The 18,952-nt window shown below is 53.2% G+C and overlaps 1 long non-coding RNA gene across 1 annotated transcript in view, besides 3 other annotated features; it reads right to left on the reverse strand.

Moving 5' to 3' along the window:
• Positions 105 to 606: an enhancer, noted in NCBI's record as "H3K4me1 hESC enhancer chr18:77386889-77387390 (GRCh37/hg19 assembly coordinates)". NCBI's record gives its function as "activates a minimal SCP1, AML or CMV promoter by ChIP-STARR-seq in naive H9 embryonic stem cells {active_cell/tissue: H9 hESC(naive)}" and the evidence as "EXISTENCE:reporter gene assay evidence [ECO:0000049][PMID:30033119]".
• Positions 3,945 to 4,446: an enhancer, noted in NCBI's record as "H3K4me1 hESC enhancer chr18:77390729-77391230 (GRCh37/hg19 assembly coordinates)". NCBI's record gives its function as "activates a minimal SCP1, AML or CMV promoter by ChIP-STARR-seq in primed H9 embryonic stem cells {active_cell/tissue: H9 hESC(primed)}" and the evidence as "EXISTENCE:reporter gene assay evidence [ECO:0000049][PMID:30033119]".
• The window catches only part of CTDP1-DT (CTDP1 divergent transcript), a 40,818-nt gene continuing 34,009 nt past the window's right edge, over positions 12,144 to 18,952 (reverse strand). Inside the window, exons 3-5 of the long non-coding RNA NR_136643.1 lie at positions 15,087 to 15,355; positions 14,384 to 14,515; positions 12,144 to 12,335 (exon numbers count right to left, since the gene is read on the reverse strand). This is a non-coding gene — a long non-coding RNA (CTDP1 divergent transcript). The remainder of the gene's footprint in view (positions 12,336 to 14,383; positions 14,516 to 15,086; positions 15,356 to 18,952) is intronic.
• Positions 18,182 to 18,696: an enhancer, noted in NCBI's record as "H3K27ac-H3K4me1 hESC enhancer chr18:77404966-77405480 (GRCh37/hg19 assembly coordinates)". NCBI's record gives its function as "activates a minimal SCP1, AML or CMV promoter by ChIP-STARR-seq in primed H9 embryonic stem cells {active_cell/tissue: H9 hESC(primed)}" and the evidence as "EXISTENCE:reporter gene assay evidence [ECO:0000049][PMID:30033119]".

Consider the following 18,952-nt stretch of genomic DNA (forward strand, 5'->3'; position numbering starts at 1 on the left):
AGATCAGCACAGAATCTGAAACAGATCAATAGGAATCAGAGAACGCCCACGCTGCAGCTGCTGCCCCCAGCCCACGCCACTGCCGTGGGGCAGAGCCGCTGTCCGAGCGTTCAGTCTAACCGATCTCGCTTCCTCCAGAGCTCTCCACCCACCTCCAGAATCTGCACCGAGAGCAGCCTGTGTTTAAGGACTCTGATGGACAGACGGCGGAGTGGACGTCCCACCCTCACGAGGGAGGCCGCCGGACACATCACCGGGCCACTGCGCCCAGCTGGCCCTGCAGAGGCGCTGCAGGAACTCAGGCACGCTTGATTTGAGAGCAGCAAGCACAGAGACGCCCGTTTGTCACATCCAAATAAGCAGGTGTCAGTCTTCCTGCCCGACTCCCAAATCAGGGCCAGAGCCTGCTCTCTTCAGCTTGAAGTGAGTCAGCCCGGGGCTAGCGAGCAAGCTGGGGTTCAAGTCAGGTAACACTGGCCTGGCCCGCCGAGGAGGAAGGGCTCACGCTTCAGGAGCAGAGGGGCCCGACCAGTCACTCCCCAGGAACAGGGCTGCAGGCGAGGAGGGGGCAGAGTGGGGAGAAGAAGCACAGGCGAGCCCCGAGCCAGGTCCACGAGGGGAGGCACAGCTCCCCCAGGTTTCTACACGGCCACCCGGTGTCGAAAGGGCTGGGGAACCAACGTCTACAGGGATGGCTCCCATGGGCAAGCCCCCAGCCTCAAGAGTGGGCTGCGAGGTGACATGGACAGGGCTGCGAGCTGGTACGGGCTGCGTCCACCACTCTGCTGGGGTGGAGGAAGGTCGATCAGGATCTGGAATTCTCACAGGTGAGGCACAGGCATTGGGCGCATATCTGCCTGCTCCTGGAGAACGTGGTTGGAGGCCGAGGGCGTCCTGACTGTAGTGGGGCCGCGCTGTGTCTTCCCTGCACGCTCACCGTGTCTCAGACCGTGGCGCTCCCTGCAATGAGTCCTGCCCGAGACTCAGGCGGGGCGCTTTCATGGGGCCTGATATGGGGCTCTGTGATTCCAAGGGCAGCACGGCTGGGTGGAAAATCGCAGTGAGAAGGTCATCAAGGTGTTTTCCACGCTAGAAGCACCCTCAACTCAAGTTAAACACACAAATCCACCACCCTGTCTCCAACAGCCTGGAGAGCAACTGGGCTCCACTGACTTTAGTGCCACTGGAGGGCTTGTGTAGATGAACCCACATGGGCAGAGCTGCCCAGCGCCCGCCAGGGGTCCTTGCTGACAGGACTCCTGGGTGTTGTGGGGGTGAAAGGCACGAGTAAGTGTGTCTGAAGCAGCAGGGAAGGCGTCACAGAAGAGGTGACAGCCCCGGGGACACTTCAGGCCCAGGGAACCTGGGGAGGCAAGGGAGGAGGCATTTGGGCCAAGGGAACGTTCCAGAACCCGGTGAGGATGAGGGCAGACCCTGTTGTTTTCATCCGTCGTCTGGGTCAGGTGTTGTAAAGACGCTCTTAGAACCAGCTCTGTTGGTTACGACGCGGAGAAAACACGGTTACTTCTGTTCTCTCCTGAGCTTCAAGTACAGTAAAGAGATTTTGTAAAACTAAAAGCAGCTCACACAAGGGGAACGAGGTGGAGACGCCTGCAAAGTGGAGGCACCTGGGGCCAGCATCTCTGTGGACCCCAGAAACGACTCTGACACAGCAGTGGGGACAGGGCACCCTGATTTAGATCCCGAACCCCAAAGCCCCCAGGACTGCGGGCCGAGGATGATGCCGGGGGGAGGGCTGGAGGTGGAGAGGGGCCTGCGCAGGCTAAGGACCCTTCCCTGCCCCTGCCTCCTGGGGCCACCTCCCCTTCCTGTCTCGTCTCTACAGAGACTGAAGCGACCCCTGGGCCTGGGCAGCCATGAGCTCTGGAGGGAGTCCCTCTGCCCCAACGCCAGGCCAGCCTCCTTCCCCGCGTGCTCCCAAGCAGGACAGCCTCTCCTCCAGGGAATCCGACCTGCTGAAAAGGAAGCCCCAGAATACAAGCAGACACACAGATCTGTCGAAACACCCGGGCAAACTCTCCAGCGTGAAATAAACACAAAGCAAAATCATGTGGAAGTGAACGGAAGCCATACGGGGAGAAGAGCGTAGCGTCGCAGACGGTCACCCTGGAGGGGCATCACCGTCATGAGCTGTGGACAGAACCCACACTCTCCACAGGGAGCACAGACAGACCCACGATCCCCACAACGGAACCATCACAGAAAAGAAGGAAATTGGCAAAAGGGCCGAGGTGTGAAGGTGCCGGGAATTGGAGCCTGAAGACAAAGATCAAAGCTGGGATGGAAGGAGAGGCTGGAGGACCAGTCGAGGCCACCTTGCAGGGATCGCATTCCGGAGTGGGGAGCAGATACGACAGAAAGGGAGAAACCACAACCAGCAGCACAAGGACAGCCTTGAGGGATGAAGGACACAGGTCCTCGCTCAGGAAGAACTGGTGGCCACATGGCACGGGGGACCACACCCGGGCAGCAACTCCGTAGAAGGGGAGGGTCCTGCACCTTCCAGAGACCAAGAGGGGCCCAGAGAACAGTGTCCGGCATTTCAAGGGCACCTCGGGGAGCCCAGACGAGGGCATGATCCCAGCCTCCCGGACATGTCGCCCCCACCAGACTGACCATCGAGTGCAGGGAAGCCCCAGGCAGGGGCCACAACAGAGGGACCCCCAGAGCAAGGGGCCTGTCAGCATCACTCTTGTGGGACAGGATCCGGACACCTCTCCAGAACAAAGTGAGTTAGTAGTGGGAGAGACATCACCAGGAAGCCAAAATTAACAAGCGCCCAAGATAAGACAACTGAAGAGGAGACTGAGACACTTGGGGTTCCATTGGTATATACACAGAAAATAAAGTTGATGGAAAAAGCTAATTATTAATTTCAGGAAAACAGAAAACTGCAAGAAAAGCCATCATCGTTTGTGACGGGCTCAGTGGTGCTGCTGTGTGTGTTCATCGCAGTCCTGGCTGATCAATATTTGCTCTCCACATTGTCAGTGGAAAGGTGGCGGGGACGGGAGGCGTGGGAAGGGAGCTGATCTATTGTGGGAGGTGACAGACAATGCCCCAGATTAACCTGCCCAGAGGTAGCAATAGCAGCTAGTTACACAGAGACTGGAGGTGAATGCTGAGAAGATCAGTTTAGAAATTTGGGAATGAATGGTCTGGAAAGATGAAAAGTGCAGTACAGGGTTAAGGACTGCTGTTTGCAGAACAAGCCTTAATAAAAATAAAAATAAACACATCCAAGTACAAACTGACCCTGAAAAGGACCAGCCTCCAACAGAGAAAGACGGGTTTCCTGATGGCAGCAGCCCCCGAGGCGAGAGTCCCAGCAAGGGCTATTGTTCGTTGTTCGGGAAACTTCGCCCGAAATTGGTACCCCCATTATTATTTTTGCATGTGTCTCCTAGGGAAGAGAAGAGGCTGGTTGGGTTGTAGAAACCCAGTCTATGAATTTCAAGTCTTCATCACCCCTGAGGTCTTTTCAGGAAGAGCACCATGTTGGTGATGCTGCGTCTCTGAGAGCCTCCTCCTGCTATTGGCGCCGTGTTAGGGAGCCGGAAGGAGGCTGAGAGGTTCTGAAAATGAAACCAGAATGCTGTCCAGGCTGACGCGGGCACCTGGTGAGCAGAGGGACCGTCCATGAATCTGCACCCCACATGAGACGCACGTGCAAACTGGAACTAATGCCTGCTCACAGCCTAATTACACTCGCGGCGTCAGCGTTCTGGGCAGGCCGTTCACACTGAAACTCGGTCGGCACTGGCGCTGGGGCGGATCCTGGCCATCGACCACTCCATTCTACAGCGGCTCCTTCAGTGAGTCGCAAAAACACTTGCTGATTCTGGGCCTCAATTTCCCCTTGTGCAAGGCGAGGCCAGTGCCTTAGCCTCACAGAAAATAAAAAGTGTCCCAGAAGCAGAGGGAAGTGTGGTTTAAAACCCATCAAAACCACAGCGAGGGCCTGAGATCCTGACTCCCGACGGCACCACAGCCTCACAGTTCTGGCTGTGAGTCACAGACCTTATTCCAGGCAAGCTGGGAACTCCAGCCGGGTCTGGGTTATTATTTCTTGCCAGTGATTTTTCAGAGAGGTTTGTATCCGCGGGGAACCATCAGTCACGTAGTTGCTGTGTGCGTGTGTGTGTACCTGCGTGCGTGTCTGTGCCTGTGTGTGTGCCCTGTGCATGTGTGTGCTTGTGTGTGTGTCTGCACCTGTGCTCAGTGCCTGCGGTGCAATGAATGATGGCGGTGGGGCTGCGTGTGTGTCTGTGTGTGTGTCCGTGCATGTGTGTGTGTGCGTCTGCACCTGTGCTCGGTGGGATGAACGATGGAGGTGGGGCTGCGCGTGTGCGTGTGTGTCTGTGTGTGTGCGTGTGTGTCTGTATGTGTGTGTGCGTGTGCGTCTGCACCTGTGCTCGGTGGGATGAATGATGGTGGTGGGGCTGCATCTGTGCGTGTCTGTATGTGTGTGTGTGTGTGCGTCTGCACCTGTGCTCGGTGCCTGCGGTGCAATGAATGATGGCAGTGGGGCTGTGTGTGTGCGTGTGTGTCTGTATGTGTGTGGGTGGGTCTGCACCTGTGCTCGGTGGGATGAACGATGGTGGTGGGGCTGCGTGTGTGTGTGTGTGTGTGTCTGTATGTGTGTGCGTGTCTGTATGTGTGTGCGTGTGTCTGTGTGTGTGCGTGTGTGTATGTGTGTGTGCGTGTGCATCCGCACCTGTGCTCGGTGGGATGAATGATGGTGGTGGGGCTGCGTGTCCTCCTACCATTGGCTCCGATGGTTGGAGCCAATCTGGCCAGGCCGGTCCATGCATTCTTTCTTTTAAGGATTCCCTTAGGTAAAGCCTCTGCTTGTGAGTTTTCATGCAAGACAACGTTGAGTTAAAGCCATTTTAGGAAAAAAAAGAAAAAACTTGTTTTGAATGATGTCCATGCCCTTCAAAACTGAACACAAAATTAAGAAATAACTGAGTACCCAGAATGGCAGCCTGTCTCAGAGTGGTAATAAGGTCAACTGCAAACCACACGGCCTGGTGCCCTACATGCACTGGGCGGCCGAGCCCTGCTCCAGGGCCTGTAGGGCCTGGGAGGTGTCGGATGTGGCTTGCTGGCTGCAGGGCCTGGTCTGTGGCTGAGAGACCGTGGCGGTCTGTGGACAGGTGAGTGCTGGGCCCACAGGATGTAGACTGTGAGGCTGGCGAGGTGAGCCAAGACCTCTTATCTCCCATCGGGCCTTCTGTTCCCCTCTCAGGAAGCCCGTTGGTGGCCAGCTGAATGTTTAAACCCAAGTGCTGACCAAGAAAAAGTCAAGGGGAAACCTAGGGGCTCCCTGAGATGAGTCTCGAAGCTGGAAAGCCACCCAGACACGCAGGGAGGTTCAGGAGTCTTCATACCCAACCAAAAGCTCTTCCTCAGGTCTGTGCTAAAATGTGGTTTTCCCCTCAGAAAAATAAGCCATGCTCTTATACAAATGTGGAAAGTATGACAAAATAAAAGAAAGAAACTAGAAGTCATTCACAGCATCACTACCAGAGGTAACTCATGTTACCATTTTTGTGGATTTCCTTCCACGTGTGGGCATGACTTTGTGTGTGTGTGTGTGGGTGAGTGTGTGTATGTACACAGGGAGACAGGATAAAGTTGTGTTGAAAACTACTAAAGTCAGGCTGCTTGGGTCGGAATCTGGCCACCAAATAGCAGAGAGTTGAGCAAGTGAGTGAACCTCTCCACGTGTGTCACGTAGAGGTGAGGGCTACCCCGTGGCTGGTTGTGAAATCCTACATGACAAGCCTACCCAGGGCTTACACGGATGCTTAACAAAGTGTCAGCTCTTAGTATTATAGTGATTTTGCACGAATAATCACACCTGCTATATGTACAGTTGTATGTCAGCCCCTTCACTTAAAGTCACAGTGTGCACCCCATGGCACTGCACATTCTTTGAAAATACGACTTTCAAGGGCTGGTGCTTCTGTGACGTGGCTCGGCTACCGTCCGGGGGCTCTTCCCTCTTGTTGGATGCCTATGGCACTTGTGATGATCGTAACACTGCAGTGAAAGCCTCACTTGTGAGCCTCTGTCATTGTCTCTGATCATCCCTTAGAAGGAGCCCTAGGATGGCAGCAGGATGCAGTGGTTAGCATTGGGATTCACGCTGCCCCGTGGCCTGGCCGAGACGCACCCACGAGGATCCCTCGCCCGTGGCCGCCCTCCTCACCCAGCACTCCAGGCAAGAACGGGACTTCACTGCTGCTGTCATCTGCAGCTCTGGGATTATTGTTGAAGTGGAGCATTTAGGGCTCTTCTAAATAAAGTTTCAAGTTCTATTTTTGTCCATTTTTATTAATAAGATTGTCAGTCTTTCCTGACTGATATATGAATACTAGTAAACTTTGATTTAATATATTTTATAATATTTTTTGCAGGTTTTTATTGCAGTTTTGAAATTTGTTTATGCTGTTCTCTGACTTCTTGCCTTTGCTTTGTTTTTTTCTTTCTTTTTCCATGTTTAGAAAGCTTTTCTCCATCCCCAGGAAAGAAAAAGCATTCATTTTAATTTCCTCTAGTTGTTTTATAATTCAATTCAAAATTTTTAACTTTTAATTCATCTGTAATACATTTGGGTACAGGTCTTAAATTATATAAGTTAATTTAAACAACTCTTCTCTGATTTATTTTGTTGGTGGTGGTGGTGATGGTGGTGGTGACGGTGATGATGGTGGTGATGGTGGTGACGATGGTGGTGATGGTGTTGACAGTGGTGGTGACGGTGATGATGGTGGTGATGGTGGTGGTGATAATGGTGGTGGTGATGGTGGTGATGGCAGTGGTGATGGTGGTTGTGATGGTGATGATGGTGGTGATGATGGCGGTGGTGGTGATGGTGCTGCTGATGGTGGTGGTGGTGATGGTGGTGGTGGTGATGACGGTGGTGATGGTGGTGGTGGTGGTGATGATGGTGCTGATGATGGTGCTGATGATGGTGATGGTGACGGTGATGATGGTGGTGGTGATGATGGTGGTGGTGATGGTGGTGATGATGGCAGTGGTGGTGGTGGTGATGGTGGTGATGGTGGTGGTGATGGTGGTGGTGACGGTGATGATGGTGGTGATGGTGATGATGGTGGTGATGGTGGTGGTGATAATGGTGGTGGTGATGGTGGTGATGGTGGTGGTGATGGTGATGATGGTGGTGATGGTGGTGGTGGTGATAGTGATGAGAATGGTGATGATTGTGGTGATAGTGATGATGATGTGGTGGTGGTGGTGATGGTGATGGTGGTGGTGATAGTTATACTGATGATAATGGTGGTGATGATGGTGATAGTGGTGGTGAACTGTGGCCTCACATCCCCTGGCCTATGTTGGTCAGCCCTGCTGGCAGCTGCCCTCGATCTCGCTGGGCTGTGTGCATCCCCAGCTAGAGGAGGATGATAGGGGCACAGAGCCCTCTCCAGTGGGTCCCCTTTGGAAGGAGCCTGCACAGCACTCCCAGTGACCCCAAGGGAAAAACCTGCCCCCCAGGCAATGCCCTACAGTTCAGTCCGAGGTTCCAGGAGCTTCCTTTCTGCTGGATGGACCTTCAAGCATATTGACCCTTAGCCCCGGGTCATCCCATGGCCCTGGGGATGCAGCGAGGGGCCCAGCAGGCAGGGTGAGTATCTCCTGGAGCCATGTCTCCTGGAGAGCTCCTTAGTGGCTGGCAGAGAAGGATTGAGAAGACATTTTCCCCAGCAGGCCTGGGCAGAACACTGGCACACCCACCCTCATCCCTGGGCCAGCATCCTCGCCCCCACTGTGCCCCCAACTCCAGCCCAGCTTCCCCACCTTGGTGGTCCAAATGTACCATGTGCCCCTCCCCCAAAGTCACTTTCTCAGTGAGCTTCTCCCTGCTGCCTTGCCCCCAGCCACGGACTCCTGGCCAGTTTCTTCCACAGCCCGTGACCCGATGACTCACGTGTGGCTCACTGTCTGTCTCCCTCCCTGGTGGGACCGTGGTTCCTGGACAGCTCCTGGATACAGTCAGCTGGGCTTTGTTCCCTGGGCCACCCAGCTGCCCCCTCCTGTCCTCCAGTGAGAATGAAGCCCATGCAGAGGAAGGCCCACCGGGCCCCTGCCCCCTTTCTGTTGCACTAGGGTCCCAGCCACGGCATCCACACTTGTCCAGTCCCATTAGGAACACCCCAAGTGTTAGGAACACCCCAAGTGTTAGGAACATGCCTAGTGTCTGTGCTGCTCACTCAGGCCTCACAGCTGGTGCTTCCTCATTGAGTCAGCGAGCTTTCCTTCCCAGAAAGTGAGCTTTCCTTCCCAGACGGTGTCTCAGCATGGCCACTCTGCCGTGCATGGCACCAGCGCACACCCCATCCCTGGACGGTCACACTCCTGGCTATGCCCTCAGCAGACAAGGCACAGTGACCAGCGCCTGTCTTAACCTGGGAGAGACACCTGAGCGGCCAGGACAAGTTTTACTCCTCCTTGCAAACCCTGGCGAAACATCCACAGAGAGTGGAGGCTCCGCGGTGCTGTCCCCTGTGCTCCGCGACAGGGATGGAGCTACTCAATCAAATCCAAATCCCGCCGTTCCTTAGGGCCTCGGGGAATGGGATGAGAATGAAGAGACAGCGGCCGAGACAGTGGCTCCTGATCACTCCCCGGGAACAGCCTCTCAACTGCGCCATCACTGATGGCCCCGTCGGTCCCCGCATCACACGTCACAGCCTCTCAACTGCGCCATCACTGACGGCCCCGTCGGTCCCCACATCACACGTCACAATGTTTTCATACTCTAAAGCACAAGCGCATGTTTCAATGGGGTCGTGGATTTTGTAATAATATTTTAGCTTGGAACTGGTAAGAAACTAAGGCAAATTAAATTCAATGCTAGTTTACCCTTGTATTTTAAAAGATGTTGAAAATAAACAGCAAACACCACCAATGCTCTGCTGGCATTCACTAACAAGCCACGCCATCCCACCTGCTCTGAAACGCTCTGTCTTCTGGGTCCCTCCGTGACCCCCCCACACATCCTAGACATCCCTTTTCCTGTGGTCTTTTTTGGCTCTCTGTGCCCTTCCCCCAATACTTATTGGAATATTTACTTATTTTTGCCTCTTCCCTAAACTGTACATTCCTTGAGAGAAGAAGCGTTTTGATTATTATTTTTTTTATTTTTTTAACCTTATCTCCTTTTTTTTTTATTATTATACTTTAAGTTTTAGGGTACATGTGCACAATGTGCAGGTTAGTTACATATGTATACATGTGCCATGCTGGTGTGCTGCACCCATTAACTCGTCATTTACATTAGGTATATCTCCTAATGCTATCCCTCCCCCCTCCCCCCCACCCCACAACAGTCCCCAGAGTGTGATGTTCCCCTTCCTGTGTCCATGTGTTCTTATTGTTCAATTCCCATCTATGAGTGAGAACACGCGGTGTTTGGTTTTTTGTCCTTGCAATAGTTTACCGAGAATGATGATTTCCAGTTTCATCCACATCCCTACAAAGGACATGAACTCATCATTTTTTATGGCTGCATAGTATTCCATGGTGTATATGTGCCACATTTTCTTAATCCAGTCTATCATTGTTGGACATTTAGGTTGGTTCCAAGTCTTTGGTATTGTGAATAGTGCCGCCATAAACATACGTGTGCAATGCCACCCCCATCAAGCTACCAATGACTTTCTTCACAGAATTGGAAAAAACTATTTTAAAGTTCATATGGAACCAAAAAAGAGCCCACATCACCAAGTCAACCCTAAGCCAAAAGAACAAAGCTGGAGGCATCACGCTACCTGACTTCAAACTATACTACAAGGCTACAGTAACCAAAACAGCATGGTACTGGTACCAAAACAGAGATATAGATCAATGGAACAGAATAGAGCCCTCAGAAATAATGCCGCATATCTACAACTATCTGATCTTTGACAAACCTGAGAAAAACAAGCAATGGGGAAAGGATTCCCTATTTAATAAATGGTGCTGGGAAAACTGGCTAGCCATATGTAGAAAGCTGAAACTGGATCCCTTCCTTACACCTTATACAAAAATTAATTCAAGATGGATTAAAGACTTAAACGTTAGACCTAAAACCATAAAAGCCCTAGAAGAAAACCTAGGCATTACCATTCAGGACATAGGCATGGGCAAGGACTTCATGTCTAAAACACCAAAAGCAATGGCAACAAAAGCCAAAATCGACAAATGGGATCTAATTAAACTAAAGAGCTTCTGCACAGCTAAAGAAACTGCCATCAGAGTGAACAGGCAGCCTACAGAATGGGAGAAAATTTTCGCAACCTACTCATCTGACAAAGGGCTAATATCCAGAATCTACAATGAACTCAGACAAATTTACAAGAAAATAAACAGCATGAGGAGGCCCAAAGAGCTGTTATAAACTCCTCGGAAACATCAGAAAAGCCATCTGAAATTTAAAATAAATGGGAATCCACCACTAAAAAATCCGAAATCTAAATGAACAAACCAATAGCCCACAGCCTGCTCCGAGTGACGCGGCCTCCACACGGACCCTCCGCACCTGCAGAGCCGCTCCGGGTGCCCGGCCAGGCCTCCGAGGGACGAAGTCCCTTTGGGGAAAGACATTTACCTAGAACACGCCAACATCTACAAGGGGTGAAATGGTCTTAATAAAGGGTTACATCTTCTGAAATGCTGCATTTTAAAATCCCGTCTCTCTCTGTCTTTAGGGTCCGTTTCCTTCCTAAGGCAGGTGCAGAGCCCGGCCTTGCTGCGCCTTCGGGGCGCGGGCATCTCCCGGCCCAGCTCCGCCCTCCTCCCGCGCTGGAAGCCGCCGCCCGCCCTGGCCCGCGGTGAGTCCAGGGGAGGCCGCGCTCTGTGGCCACGGCTGTAATTTGAAGGGGCGGCCTCAGGCCCACCCCAGTGAGGCACCAGCACCCGCATCAGCTCCGACTTTGCGCGCTCGAGACCCCGGCCAGGGGCTGCCTCTGGGTCCGCCTGCGCCGCGAGAGGACTTGGGGCCTCGGGGACCCGGCGGGACCCTCCGGCTCTCGGCTGCGGAGCTGCGCGCCCATGGCGCGTCCCACGGCCACCCGGGCCTGGGCCTGTCGGGGACTCGGGAGGCGCCGCCCAGGTCTCAGGGGGACTCTGCCGAGGCACGGCCTGGGCCCGGGGCGCCACGCGCGGACACGAGTGGGCGGGGAGGGAAGAGCAACCCCAGCCCTGCCGCCCCGTCCAGGGAGCCTCCCCCACCCGAGGCCGGCGGCTCAGCGCTCATGGGCGGCCTGGGGGCGCCTCCGGGAAGGACTCCTGCTCCCGCAGGAATTTGTCCCACGCAGAAGAACGAGGCCCCCGGGGAGCGCCCACGAACGCAGGGAGACGGCGCGGGGCCCTCGAGCCGATGCGGGGCGCTCCTGCCTCAGCCCGGAGCGGTGCAGCCTCGGGCCCTGCTCTCCGCCCGGGAAGGCTCCGCGGGTTCGAATCTGCTGTGAAATGTCACCGGCGCGCTCGCCATCCGCGGGCAGAAGGAGCCGCTCCCGGGGGCCTTTCCACTCCGGGAGGGGACGATGCGCTCCGAACCGCTCACGGGGAGCTTGGCCTGGTGGGTTCCAGGTGGGAGGAGGCGCTGCCCGCTCGGAGCGCCCGGGGCCTGGGCAGCTGCGTGGTCCCAGCGCCGGGGTCCGCGCCGGGTGGGGCCTTGGCCACGTGGAAACCCGGGGCTGGCCGTGCCCAGGGCAGTAGCGGTGACTCCGGCGGACGTCAGTGAGGACCTGGAAGTGAGGTTCCCCCAGGAGAACCCCCGTCAGGGACCCGGGGTCCAGTCCCGAATGGGAATAAACTGTGCGGCCCACGTAGAGCAGCTCGGAGCCGTCGCCCTGGCTCTGAGCAAGCCGAGCCTTCGAAGGCCCTGGACCGAGGCTTCCCTGGAGGTCCCCGGGCCCTGCCGTGCGTCCGAAGCTCCTGTCCAGACGCGGCGGCGCTGGGGCTGGGCTCTGCCTAGAGCCCAAGATGTTTTCAATGTTCGTCTTTGATTTAAGACGAGAAAGTTTGGCTCAGCTCCGCTTCCACTCGCCGGCATCTGTGCCCCAGCGAAACTTGCCAACGTCTGGACTGTAAATAAGGGACTTTGACCTAAAAGTTTTTACAAGCTTTAAAGTTTCAGTAAAGTTGGGTAGAGATATTTCTTGGTAAGTTTGATGCCAAAAAAAAGGAAAAAAAGAAAAAAGCATGTGTTTTGCCTGAAGGAAGTTTGGCCGGCTGCTCCTCACGGCCTGGGCCCCCAGGAGGAGAACCCAGCTCTGCCACGCTGGTGTCTGCTGTCCCGACTGTAAACCAAAAATAAACTTCTAAGCCCCCAACCGACTGAATGGACCCCCTCTCTGTCAAGGGGATTTCAAAGAAACCTGAAAAACGAGGTCAGGCCACGTGCGGCTGCCTCAAGGGTCATCCCTGCAGTGTCCAAAGCACAGGCTGGTGAGGGAGTGGGGGGCTGGAGATGCCCCATTCTACCCTCCTCCCTCTGGAATTCAGGCACAACTGACCAGTATGAACTTTAAAACAGAGATCTTAAGGCTGACAAACAGGCTGTTGGTAGCAATATAAGATACCAAATTCCCACCTGACTCTAGTATAGCATCACATGACCGGGGGCAGGCCCTGGAAGTATCCAAATATTTTACTCCAAAATATATTTATTTGGCATATTTTCTAACGGCCCTCCAAAGCTGTCTCTTGTGGGAGACATGTACATTCTGTAGAGAATCCTCTTCCCTTTCCAGGCCTTTTTCTGACGCTGAAGAGATTGGCTGAGAGTCTAGCACCTTCTAAAGGTCTAAAGAGGAAACAGTTGCCATCTATTGTCTCCAAGGGTGGCCACCTATGAGACTTCATCTACATAAGAACCTTGGTCTCCAAACCCCTTCACCAAGACACTCCTTTCTGGTGATTCCACGTCTTTAGATAATAACTTAACTCTTTCAACCAATTGCCAATCAGAAAACTCTCAAATACACCTGTGACCTGGAGGCCTCCACTGAGTCATCCCACCATTCCAGACCAACCCCACGCACACCTCACATGTACTGATTGGCGTCTGCCTGTAACTTTTGTCCCCCTAAATGTCTGAAGCCAACCTGGGCGCATGTTCTCAGGACCTCTTGAGACTGTGCCTCGGGCCTTGACCACTCATATTTGGCTCAGAAGAAACCTCTCTAAATATTTTACAGAGTTTGGCTTTTTTCCCTCAACATGACCCTGCCACCCACCAACTTGAGCTGATGAATAAAAATGGTTTCAGGTGTCTCCCTGCCCTCCTTGCCCCCACAAAGAGAAACACATTGTCTGAAACAGCCGGAATGTTAAGCTCACTTTCTTTGTTCCTGTTTTCAGCTGGAGGTTGTGCCAGGGGTTCTCTGGAGGCCCAAGTCACCCCGGAGACACAGGGACACCCCACAGCCACGACCGTCCCACATGGGAGTCTGAGTGGAAAGTGGGGGACTGGGGCACCTCGAATGGGTTAGTGGCACTTAGAAAAGAGTGATGTCTTCTCAAATTAAGGGACAGACGCCTTTCGTGGGATGAAGGGAGTGCTGTCTACCATGCTACCGTGGACCACGGAAAGTCCGGAAGGGTCGTGGCACGAGCCGGCACACTGGAACGCTGCCGTGTGTGCCATGCAGGCAGCACGGGGCTCTTTCCTGAGGAGGGCTCTGCGTGTGGCCACAGTGGTGGGCAAAGCTGGGGCAGGGACTCCAGGTGCAGCTGCCTCAAGGGTCCTCCCTGCAGCGTCTGAGGCACAGGCTGGGGTTGCGTTCTGAGCCTGCGTGACGTCAGCCACACTCACTTTGGCTCTGGGATTCCTCCTTCCCATTCAAAAAGGAGGATCCAAACAAAAACCCACACATCTGTATCCTTGTGACTGCAGAGTATCAGGGCACCTCCGGAGAAACTGGGGGCCCCGAAGAGCCCCCCAGATGCCCATGTAGATGCCCCCCAGATGCCCACCACACCCTCCTCCCGTAACAAGTAGCCACAGTGAAACTTTCCAAATCCCCAAATAAAGCCGCAGTGCGGAGCGAGTCCTGCCCGGAATGGTGGGCTCCTCTGCTGTATTCTTAAAATTGAGGTAAAACATAAATAACATAAAATGTGCCATTTTAACCATTTGTAAGGGCACGGTCCAGAGGGCTAAGCACATTCACGATGTTCTGTGCAGTCCTCACCACCGACCGTCTCCAGCACTTTCTCATCCTCCCAACCTGAAGCTCTGTCCCCGTGAAATGCTCACTCCCCTGCCCCGGCCCCCGGCACCCCCACCTGCTTTCTGTCTCTATGGACCTGTGGACTCCAGGGACCTCCTGTGAGTGAGACTCACACGTGATTGTCTTTACTGGGCATGATGTCCCCAAGATTCATCCATGGTATAGCCTGAGTCAGATTTTCCTTCCTTGTCCAAAGCTGAATATTCCACTGTAGGACGGATCACGTTGTGTGGGTTCATTCCGCCCTGGATAGACACGTAGGTGGTGTGTGCCTTTTGGCTTTTGTGAACAAAGTTGCTGTGAACATGGGGGTGTAGGTGCTTCTTCGATATCCTGATTTCAATTATTTTGGGCCTATGCTCAGCCTTCACTGTATTTTAACATGATTTTATCTTTCTTTAAGCGACTTTTTACATACGTCCATAAAATTTTAACTTGTTTAGTTGAGCGGTAACTGTAATTACAGTGGACCCTTGAGGAATGCAGGTTTAAACTACATGGGTACATTTATTAAGCCAGTAGTTTGCACATGGCAGGTCCTCCTGGCTGCAGGGACTGAGTGTGGGGACTGGTCCCATATTCGAGGTTCTGGGACGCGTCCCCCAGGGACATCAAGGGACGGACAACTGTGCCATTTTTCATATTTGCCACCAGCACCATCTCTAACTGGGTTTTCTGCTAATCAACGCCCCTGATTGTCAGGAGGAGAGGAGACCGGGCAGTGAGGCCCCAGTGCAGACCCCGGGCAGGCTGGGCTCACTTTAGCCTCCCCAGGCTCCCTCCCAGCCTCCTGGCCTCGGGTTCCAGGCCTCTTACCATGAGGACGATGACAGGCCCGGAGCTCCCGTTCTGATTTAAAACTGCGGACCCAGCCGAGACCCTGCAGGGCCTCCAGCCCCACCTGCTCCTTCCAAGCCCGGTCTCAGCCCGGTCAGCGCCGCCCCCTCCGCCCTGAGGAGGAACCTGGCCCTTCGGAAGTCTTCCACTGTGTTCTCTGGGGAAACCACGGCGCCTCTCTTGCCAAAGCCTGGTTCCTTCTCTCCCTCTTTACCAGGCTGGGTTTTGCCGGCATTGTCTGTCGGATGCTATGGAGATGGGAAAATGAATTTCATCTTTCATCTTGCACACACCTGTCTGAAGGCCCAATGTTGCCCTGGTGTGGGGACAGCGAGGGGCAAACTCGAGAAGCCCCTGTGGACGCACAGGTGGCCTCGTGACACCCCCAGGGGAGGCGCCCCAGACCCCCCCCCCCCGCCCGACGCCAGAACCCACGGGGCGGGGCCTCGCCTGGAATGGGGCATCCTCTCTAGAGGACTTGGGATACCTCGAACTATGCAATGCGGTGTAAATACTGTTTACACGGTATTTTATTGGGTTTTTTTTATTGTTGTATTGTGATTTTTCTTCCCCTCTGGGGTTGGTGGAACCCTCAGTTGCAAACAGGAATGCAGAGGTGGATGGTGGTTCCACGATTTGGAAATCATGAAAGACTACAGAGTCCTGCCAGCTTCTTGGTAGAACTTTGTTTTTTATAAGCTCGATAGAAGATCTTATTAGCTTGATGATTCTTTGAGACCAGGTGCTATTCTTATCTAATTTATTTATTCATTTATTTCCTCAACAAATATTTCTTAAATGACTTTTATATTCTCCCCCAAGCATCTTAAGCAGATGCTTAATAATAGGAAATAACACTCCCTTTATACAATAACATTACGCAACGCCATCATTTGTTCTCATAAAGGCAATTAGTGCATGAATTTCCACCCCCACCCTCAAAAAATTGCAACACTGTGTGCGGTGGAGAAATCCTGGGCTGTCTCAGGTTTCCTCACTCCACACTCTCCCCAAGACAAAGTGGGTAGTTACCGCGCTAGAAGGTGGCCAAGAGCATGTGAGTCTACAGGCAAGTACCTTACTCTCCTGGGGTGAAAATAATTCGGAGAAAGTAGAATATATGAAAAGAAAGTGTGGAGTTAAAGAACCAAAGCTCACAGACCATCTCCCCAGTAACCAGAGTTACTTAAATGCTTTGAATGCCACTTCTCTCATCTAGAAAATAGGGGTGAGGCCTCTAACTTCCCAGGACTGCCGCCCACGTCAAACCCTACCCCGAGCATGTGAAGCCTCTGAGGCCTGCGATTTTGGCTGACAGAGGCACAGGCGGAGGCCAGGGCAGCGTGGGGAGCAGGAAGCCCCCGTGGCAGAACAAGAAGCTCCCCGTGGGGGAACAGGAACCCAAGCCCCATGGGGGAACAGGAAGCAGGTGAACTTGCTGCCTCCCCTCCCAGCTGGTGCGTCCCCAGCAGACAGAGGCCCCAAAACACCGAGTGACTCAACCTACAATCAGGCTTGTTTCCAAAACCTTGATTTCCAGGTTTCAAAATTGTAAGCTAAGCCCCGTCCATGGCCATGTGCCGCCCAAAGACCCCCCTCAGCCCCTCAGCCTGTATTCTTGCCCCCATAACTGCAAGCACTGCCCGGGATGGCCAGTTCCATAAAGAGCCAGCTTCCTGATTGCATTATCCGAGGACGAACCTCCCCAGGACTGAGGAGTTCGTCCCCCGCGGCTGATCACACAAATGGATCAAGGGCCTCCTGCTTGGAGGCCGGAGGGGAGAGCAGGTGAGACAGAGTCATCGATTCCCAGGCAACGTGGAGCACACATCTGCGCCTGGAAGGGGGCTGTCCCATTCTCGTGGAAGTCAAGGGATTTTTACTTCATCCTCCCACAGGCATCCTTCCTGCGCTGTTTCAGAGCCTAGAAGCTGGGGTGCCCCACAGGACTTGGCCATGTCTGCACCTCAACCGACAGTCACTTAATATGTTTCTCGAATTAATTTTAAATGTAATTTTGCTTTTCCACTTAGGCTCATTGTAAGTAAAACGAGTGACATCATGGACTAATGTGCCTGTTATATTACTCTCTGTAACACATTCGAATTAATGTATAATAATACGTAAGAAATAACTAGTAAAATAAAGAACGTGTGTGCACATTCTTCCTAAAGAGCCTCTCTTGCACGGACAGGACTAGGCATAAGGTATTTGGGGAAACTGTCTCGCGAGAAGTGAGGGGCGGAGGCAGGTGTCCGGAGGCCTGCAGGTGCCACGGGGCTGAGGCCGGCCTCCTGCGCGGAGTCCCTCCCTCTGACCTCCCCGGGGTGCGAGCCCCACCTGCAAGGCGGTGGAGAGACGTCTCCATCTAGTGGCCGCCTGCTTCCATTACACTGGGAAGCAAGTTCCTGACCCTGAGGGTCCCGGGTTCCTTTTGGTGATGAAAACCCTCCGGAACTGAATAGCGGTAATGGCTGCACAACCTTGTAAATATACTAAAAACCCCTGAATTGGGCATTTTAAAGGCATGAATTATATGGTACGAGTTATATCTCCATTTTTAAGAGAACTTTTGTGAAAGGTTTCAATATATGAGCAGAAAAACCTTGTTCACGTCTTCTTATGGTGAAATGAAAGCATCTGAAGCACAGTGAGTGTGTCTTTTTTACTTTGTCCAGAAACATGAAGTTTAAAACATCCAGGGACCACAAGTCTTCGAGATAGAAATGTTTCATTTGTGCTTTTCTGTAAGCCACAGCTATAGTTACTACTGAATACCATTCTTCCAGGACCCTTTTATCTGATATTCTAATAAGTTGTTTCTTTTTAAAGGCACTTCTCCCTAAAAAGTGTTCTCAGGCTGCAATTACACGGATCTGAAGTGTGCGGCATACGGCTTTGCTCTCACTCTGCAGTGGAGCTTGTGGGTGTGGTGAAATGATGATGTTTTATTCTAAGGGGAGGCCGAGAACCATCTGCTTCTCGACGGAAACCATGTGTTATTACAAGACGCTACGTCAGGCGTTTTAACATGATACACTCCTTGCAATTATACTTACTAAACAGAACACCACTGCAGAATTTCCCTAATGTTCTCCTCACACACCAACTCAAGAATCTTCCCCTGCACCTCAAATGGTGCAATTATTTTGTAAAGGTCTTTGTCAGTGGATTCAAAATAACCAGAAACAATAATGATTATTATTTAGAATTCCAGTGTAATTTTCCAGCTGAGATGCAGCCTCAGGTGTGGACAGAGTGGAAAATGAGGTGATTTGTGTCCAGCCCGTCTTCAGGGAGGGGAGACCCTGCTACTGGCTCCTCATTGCCCGGCAGGGAGTGTCCTCCCCCAAAAGATGCTGGAATGTGGCTCCACGGGAGCCATGAATCCGTGTGACCCTAGGCTCGTCACTGTCACAGTGCACATTTCATGGCCTCAAACGGGTCTTCCTTGTGTGTAAACTTCAGAGAGAAAGTGCCTTCATGGGGTGAACACAGAAGTGCCACCCCAGGAAGCCTCTGCTGCCCAGCAGCAGGAAGGGGGGTCGAGTCTGAGGCCCCAAGGAAGGAGGAACTGAGCTCTGCTGTAGGGAGCCCCGTCCAGGGATGAGCAAGGCGGGAGGGGAAGGCCGGGAAGCGGCCAGGGAACTCTCTGAAGGCCGCCTTCACTCTGGAGCCTGGCCGAGGCTCAGCTGGCTTGACCACGCTGCGATATGCATCTCCCTCCGCCCAGCCCTGATTCCTCTCCTTTCCTCACACAGCCGTTGACCCTAAACAGATCTCACCTGCAAAATCCAACTGCATGTCAGCCACAGTCTACAGTGCACAGTGGAGACCTCAAAGAC

The sequence above is a fragment of the Homo sapiens genome, chromosome 18 (genome assembly GCF_000001405.40).
Source record: "Homo sapiens chromosome 18, GRCh38.p14 Primary Assembly".
Classification (NCBI taxonomy): domain Eukaryota; kingdom Metazoa; phylum Chordata; class Mammalia; order Primates; family Hominidae; genus Homo; species Homo sapiens.